General features: G+C 42.5%; 1 protein-coding gene across 8 annotated transcripts in view, besides 1 other annotated feature; it reads right to left on the bottom strand.

Annotated features, from left to right (window-relative positions):
• LONRF3 (LON peptidase N-terminal domain and ring finger 3) overlaps positions 215 to 7,254 on the bottom strand; it is a 43,742-nt gene continuing 36,702 nt past the window's right edge. For 4 of the 8 annotated variants that reach the window (XM_005262476.3, NM_024778.5, NM_001031855.3 and 1 more), the window contains 4 exons: positions 6,597 to 6,755; positions 5,369 to 5,531; positions 4,214 to 4,363; positions 215 to 1,035 (listed from right to left, as the gene is read on the bottom strand). In XM_005262476.3, coding sequence (XP_005262533.1) covers positions 880 to 1,035; positions 4,214 to 4,363; positions 5,369 to 5,531; positions 6,597 to 6,755 — 628 coding nt within the window. In that variant the 3' untranslated portion in view covers positions 215 to 879. Of the gene's footprint in view, positions 1,036 to 4,213; positions 4,364 to 5,368; positions 5,691 to 6,596; positions 6,756 to 7,254 lie in introns of those variants that run through there. The other 4 variants (NR_110311.1, XM_047442517.1, XM_017029845.1 and 1 more) reach the window with 4 other exon arrangements.
• Positions 3,010 to 3,069: a silencer, noted in NCBI's record as "silent region_20952". NCBI's record gives its function as "represses an Ori minimal core promoter by ATAC-STARR-seq in GM12878 lymphoblastoid cells {active_cell/tissue: GM12878}" and the evidence as "EXISTENCE:reporter gene assay evidence [ECO:0000049][PMID:35858748]".

The following is a 7,254-nucleotide window of genomic DNA, read 5'->3' as shown; positions in this document are numbered from 1 at the left end:
ATAAAAATAATTCTTTCAGCTTTGTTCTGTATTACACACAGAAAATGAATTATTTTACTTTACCTTGGCATATACCATAATCTAGGCCAAATCCCTTAAGTATTTTATATTGTTTAGTTCAAACTGAAAAAAAAAAGTGGACTCTGAAGACAGATGATCTTAGCATCATTCTGAACTTCTTTTAAGCATCCATTTGGATAGATACGGAAATGGTCTAAGAACTAGTGTCATTGTAGTAAAAAAAAGATAAAAGCAAAAACTGCACACTTCTAGTATTGTTATTTCCCCCTAGGTACATGGTAAACCACATCAATAAATAAAGCAATGGACTTTTCAGCAATGTACGCTTAAATAGTTACAAACATACATGTAGAAAAAAGGATACAGTAGTGCAAAAAATAAATTATTAAAACAGAAAGAAGTATGAACATTATTTTACACAATGCTCTATAAAACCTGAACCATTTGGAATGAGACCTCAAGTCAGTGAAATTATACAGCAACATTATTAGTATCTTTGTTTTCACATTTCAACCACACAGTCATTGATCTATGAAAGAAAGAATATTAAAGCAAAACCACTTTAAACTTTTGGAAATTTTAATGTTAAAATCAAATTATGTTTTTCTGGGCTCTTAAACACCTCTGCTGTTTATGTAGTTATGCAGCATGTCAAGAAGCATCTTAAGACAGAAAGTTTCAAATAGGTCACATTCTTTTGGTCTTTCTACTCAATTTCTCTCTGTGATCAACAGCAGGCTGATGCCTCTGTTTGACACCCCCTTCTGTTAAGATATTATTGCAATTAGATATATTTACAAGAAGACTCCCCCCGACGGCAGTGGGGAAGGTGGGAGCTCCTCTTCGGCAATCCACTCACTAGTTTTGGTTTCGGGATATGAAGGCCAGGACTCGTCGAATACCATTCAGTCTGTCCTTTAAGGACCTCATTGCTAGGAAGGGGAGCTGAGCTCGGCTTTCCAAGGGAAGAACTGCTAACATCCACCAGCACCAGGCTGGGCCATTCGGGTTCATCTGCAACAGAGAAACACAATGGAGTCATCCTATTCCCATCCAAGAACATCAGTCTGCAGAGTTCCAAATGCTCAAGGTAAAGACCCCAGGTAGAACAACTCCATGTGGCAGATTGCTAATTGACCCTATATCTATTTTCCCCCTTATTTTAGCAGGGCATATAGCCACCCAGAAAAAAGACTGCATTTCTCAGCTTCCCTTGCAGCTAGGTGAGGCCATGAGACAAAGTTCTGGCTAATGAGATGTAAAGGGAAGTGATATGTGTAACCTCTTGGTCATGCTCTGGGAAAGAAGCATATGCCCTCTGCCTTCCTCTTTCTCTCCCTTTCCCCTAGCTAGAACATGGACGTGGTGAGGATCAGCCTTTCTCAATCAAGAGGATGAGGGAGACATTTTAAGGATGGTAGAGTTTTGTGATGAAGGAGCCTGGGTGCCTGAATGCTCTTGTGGAATAGAGCTGCCCTAACTGTCCAAGACTTAGCCCCTCCATCTTGTTTAAGCTCCAGTCATTTTTGTTTCTTGTTAAAGCAAACCAACCAGTATCCTAACAGATACACCATGCCTCCTAGCCAATGTGATTTTACAAGCTGGTATCTACTATGTAGTCTCTTCCACTTCTAATATTCTGTTGAGGTCCTTTGGACTGATGCATTTAACATTCAGGCCTTCGATTCCCATGACCCCTTGACCTTTGCATGTCTTTTAAGTCCCCTCATTTCCTTGATGTGGCTGAAGGCAATAGTCCATGTATACCATGTCACTATACAGGGCCATAGCTCTCTTCTCCCCTGAAACCAAAGGCTATGATTTACAGTCCCAAAGAATCACAATCTCACTTTGCAAAAATTCCAATTAGAAAACATTCACATTAGAAATATATTCTGCCCCAGGGCCGGGCACAGTGGCTCACGCCTGTAATCCCAGCACTTTGGGAGGCCAGCGGGTGGATCACGAGGTCAGGAGATCGAGACCATCCTGGCTAACACGACGAAACCCCATCTCTACTAAAAATACAAAAAATTAGCCGGGCGCGGTGGCGGGCTTCTGTAGTCCCAGCTACTCCGGAGGCTGAGGCAGGAGAGTGGCGTGAACCTGGGAGGCGGAGCTTGCAGTGAGCTGAGATATGCCACTGCACTCCAGCCTGGGCGACAGAGCAAGACTCCGTCTCAAAAAAAAAAAAAAAAGAAAGAAAGAAAGAAAGAAATATATTCTGCCCCTAGATTTCCTTTTAATAAAGAGCTTTCCCATTCCACATAAATCCTTCCCCAAAGCAGCTTCCCTGGCACATATTTTAGACATTGGGTACTTATTTCCTTCTAAGCCTAAAACGAGCTTTCTGCCCACAACTTTCACAAGTTTGGTTTTAGGACTATAGAGAACCATTCTGGTCAAAGTGCCTACACCTGAAATTATTTGGCTCCAAATTGGTTCCTCTGATCGTCACCAAATCTCACTGCCTTCTTTGCTTCTTTGTGCCTCTAACTTCATTTGCATTCTTTTTTGTCCCTCCCTGAAGCTGGCAATATGCTCTCCCTCCTATGATCAGTTCTGAATATTAGACTGATGTTCTGAACTTTCTTTCCAAGGATCACCAACAAAGATATTTAAGCTGGTATTAACACTTGTGGCAGTTTCTAAGAAACATCCTCCTGACAGAACATGCTTATTTGTGGGACCACTGGGGATGCAGCATTGACTGGAGCAAACTGGGATGGGTATGGGTTTTTCTTTTTTGCTGGTGCTGCTGCTGCCAAAGCAACATAATAACAGAACTAAGAAAAAAGGAAGTGAAACCCAAGATTTCAACTTTCTCTGTCATTAGCCTTTATGAATCACACTGTAGCATCTGTGTTTTCCCGTTACCATTGCTGATCTGTATCTTTTGCCTAAGGGAGAACGCTTCCCGGAAGGTGAAGGGGAACATTAAGCTTGATCGTGAGTTTGCTCAGAGGTATATGCTGCAGTCCTGACTCATCGTGGCCCAGAGCCAGGAGCTGGGTCACAGGAAGCACTAACTGGCCTTTCTCCCTTGAAAACTCATGATGCCTTTGCATGGGGGGGGAAAGAAGCCACCTTTGTGGTCTGAGGAAAGCAAGACATTTCATTTAGGGAACAGACTGGTGTCTTAGAACCTCAGAATGCAAGAGGAAGAGGGGGCTTTAGAACCCTCCTCATGTCAGAGATGGGACAAAAGTTGAGAAAGGGAAAGGAATCTTCCCAAGGTCATACTGCTAGTGAGGTAAGCAGGACCAGACTTTTGGTCAGAATATGCATATTGAGATTTTTTCTTTTGTGACAGAGTTGGGGATGAGCATAAGTAAAGAATCAATGTAGGAGAGCCAGCTTGGAGCATAGGAAGAGATGGTCGTGAGGAAATATGTGGTTAGGATATCTCCAGCCTTATCCTAGAAAGACAGTATTCCCTGATTTATTCCAGGCAAGCAAAGCTTAGTGAAACTTAACCATCTCCACTCTCCTAGGGAGCTTCTGATCTGCAGCTTGATCTTTCAAATAGGCCTATCCCCCAGGAAGAACACTGATCAGTAGAACCTAACAAACTACTGTCTAGTATAACTCAACTAACAGTATTTAATGATGAACAGAGCTGTTCAGCCCTGGTGAGGACAATAGCAAGGGTCTAGACTTGCAGGGCGAAGCATAGATAGACCGAGGCACGAAAAGTTTTTGTGGTCTTGCAGTTGTAATCTTATAAGGGTAGCTGGCCCTATCCCCTAGTTCCCAAAGCAATGAGGGAGAGGGTTATGAAGTTACCTGAAAGCAGCAGCTTTTGGTCTCAGCTCCCAGGATACCCTTCTCTTAAGTCCTGGCCTTTGCATGTAACTTGTCACCCTAACACTACCATGGTGTGAATCTGGACTCCCATGGAAGGTTCTTCTGTTGGTGATATCTATGTTCCCATTCTCTTATCTTACTTAGTTCTCAAAACCTGCCTTGGATCCAAGTTCCTACTGCTTTACTTTAGTTACCCCGATTCTAACTTGGGATCTTTTTGGTCTTACTCATGACGCTCACTGTGCAGCCAAACAACACCAAATTAAATCCATCTTCCTCTCTGCATTCGATGTGCTGAATGGCAGCCACATACCCATCTAATCACAAACACTAGGCACTCTCTTCTAGTGGGACAACCCGTTTAAAAATAGACATTTTTCTATACCTGAGGATCGGCGTCTTTCTCCGGCATGGGACCAAAGTGATTGAGTATCCGATTCTTTAGGGATAATTTGAGCGAATGAAACCACAATGATGCTTGCTGATAGACACAGTTATGTAATCCCATGAGCTCAGCACAATCCTCTCCCTGAACCTGAAAGTATCAAAGTGGAAGTGAAACATTCTGTACCCTCTCCATCATTCCCAGAGTCACTTTTGACACCTGATTCGCTTTGAGCATCCATCCTGCCTTCCTATGGGAAGGCTCACCCATTCAGCTTTCTCCTTTGCTTGATGTGAAATGCCCCTTAGTCAAGTGCTGGACAGTGTGTAGATACTGCTGACCATGGAGGAAGGAGAAAGGTTCAGCTGGGTAGATTAGCTGAAACAGCAAAACATGCAGAAAACCAGAGATTCAAACCGGCCTGAGTGGAGGCATGTGGTTAAACCAGGTTATGCTGGTCCATGCCTTTGCCCTTTTCATTTTTACATCTGTTTTCTCATTACTTGCTGGAAAAGACACAGGAGTATGTCAGTCTCAGCATGTAACTATCTTGGTCAAACACATTTACTCAGTCATCAGATATTTATTAATCTACTATGTAACAAATGTAAATATAAATGAATATAGGATTATTTACCTCTTCTTCCACCCATTACCTCAGAAAACCAAGGATTAACTAGATGTGTCATCTTTCTGCCTTAGGGGATGATGGATTATTGGGAAGGGCTCTTAGCCAGGTTACGTACTTTAAAATACAAATGCATGTGTGGATCTATAATTGTCTCAAAAGAAAAAAGTTTAAAATATACATAAATCGATAGATAAAATATATATGTATAGACCCACCCCAGATCCATTCCTTGCAATCTTTGGCAGAGACTTAACTCCCAAGCTGAATGAGCCCCAGGGTTGATCTAGGATAACATTTCCTATGCATGAATGCAACTCAGCAGCTAAGCAGAGCCAGGACAGTAGGCGCCCTCACTGCCATAGTGCAACTGGACAGCAATCCAGCAGCATTCAATGTTGCTGCAGCAATTTGGTGTGAAATCCCAAGGCCCTCAAGGGTTCTGAGAAATCCTTTCACAACTATCTTTGTGTATCAAGTTACAAGGATAGCCTGGCTTTGGGATTCTTGGCACTGGCCACCCTTACCTTTTGGTCTTCAATGTATTCAATGTCGGCTGTGTTGTAGCCATCCCGCTGGCTCTGATGGAGCACCCTGAAGCGCCTCTTGCCTATGCTGTCAACCACTGAGCGGCCATCAGCAAAGAATTGAACATTTCTGATCTCTAGGATGCAGCCATATTCTGCAAACCTGTTTATTGAGAATGGAGTCGAGAGACTAGATCCTTGATGAGTTCTGTTTCCCTGGGCTGGCACCCAGCCATTTCTGTAGCCCCATGCTGTGGCTCAAGGGACTTCTGCCTATTTTCCTGTCCCTGGGTTACAGCTTCAATTACACAACAGGCAGTGCCTGTGTGAAGAAAAAAAATTCGTAATGTATTCGTGTAACTGCTACCATTTATTGAGCACATACTATGTGCTGTGCCAGTGCTATGGTTTGAATGTTTGCCTCCTCTACAACCCATTTTGAAATTTAATTGCTATTGTAACATTATTAAGAGGTGGGACATTTAAGAGGTGATTAGGCCTCCACCCTCATGAATGCATTAATGCTGATATGGTGAAAGTAGAGTAGGGTTGTTATTAATATAAAAGGGCAAGTTTGACCCCCTTCTTTCTCTCTCTCTCTGTTGCCCTTCTGCTATGCCCTTCCACTATGTTATGATAAAGGAAGAAGGCCCTTGCCAGATGCCAGCACCTTGACCTAGGACTTCCCAGCCTCCAGAACCATGAGAAATAAATTTTGATTGTTCATAAATTATTAGTCTGTGGCATTCTGTTATAGTAGCACAAAATGGACTAAGGAAGCCAGGAACTGTGCTCAGCATTTTATGTACATTATTAACTCACCAATCTTCCAAGCAAACCCAATGAGGTAGGTACTATTATTGTACCCACTTTACAAATAAGGAAACTGGGATACAGAAAGGTTAAATAGCTTGCTCAAACTCAAACTTGCTCCAAGGCTGCAACTAGATAATGAAAGCAGGCAGTTTGACTCCAAGGCCCACATTCTTACAAGTTTTATAACATATACCACCTGTTTAACCAAATATTAATTCTAGGGTTCTTTAAATAGACAGCCTCTCACATGGTAAACTAACCACCAAAGGGACAATGATCCTTACAAATGCTCATATTCTTCAGTTGGCTAAACCTCATGAGCTAGGCCTCCCTGTCTCCTGGGAGTACCCCAAAGTAAAACAGAAATCCCTCATTACACAACCTCCCTTTGCTCGCATGGCTCCTCACTTACCCTTTGACAGGATCTCCAAGGCACATGCCAAACTGTCTCGTGCCTGTCTCAATGCATCTACGAATCATCAGGCGGTAACAAGGCTCAAAGATGTGCAGGGGACAAGGAACGGTGGGATAGGCCATAGTACACACGAAAATAGGCACATTCTTATTAAGGCTGTCAGAAAGAGAAAATGACAGGGATCTCAAAGCAATCGGACAGAACACAAAAATATTGGTCAAATGTTAGCATGTGATACCCCTGGGGGAAGGCAGAGACACCAAGTTTGTTTTTTGACAGTGTCACTTGCCAAAGATACATCAAGTTTTGATGGCTAATAGAAAAATATTGAAATGCAATTGATAGTGTGGGCTGAGTCCCATGATCTGATGCAGAGGTTAGCCTAAGGTCTAAGAAATTAAAATTGGCATTCTACACATTTTAATTTGGCTGAAGAAGTTCTCTAGTATCTTAATATTGTGGATGATAGCTATAATTCATATTTTTTCTTACTTTCATGCTCTCCACTCAAAACAATCTTTTCAGGTGTTTTTCAGGCTGCATGGGGAAGGTTGCTGATGATAGAAGTGGACTCAGCTCTCCAGAAGGGTGGTGGGAAATTCTCTGTAAGGTCCCTAGGGCATCTCAAATTTGCAAGGACCCCAAAGAGTCTGCA

The sequence above is a fragment of the Homo sapiens genome, chromosome X, assembly GCF_000001405.40.
Source record: "Homo sapiens chromosome X, GRCh38.p14 Primary Assembly".
NCBI lineage: Eukaryota > Metazoa > Chordata > Mammalia > Primates > Hominidae > Homo > Homo sapiens.
This window is presented reverse-complemented; position numbering and strand designations above follow the sequence as displayed.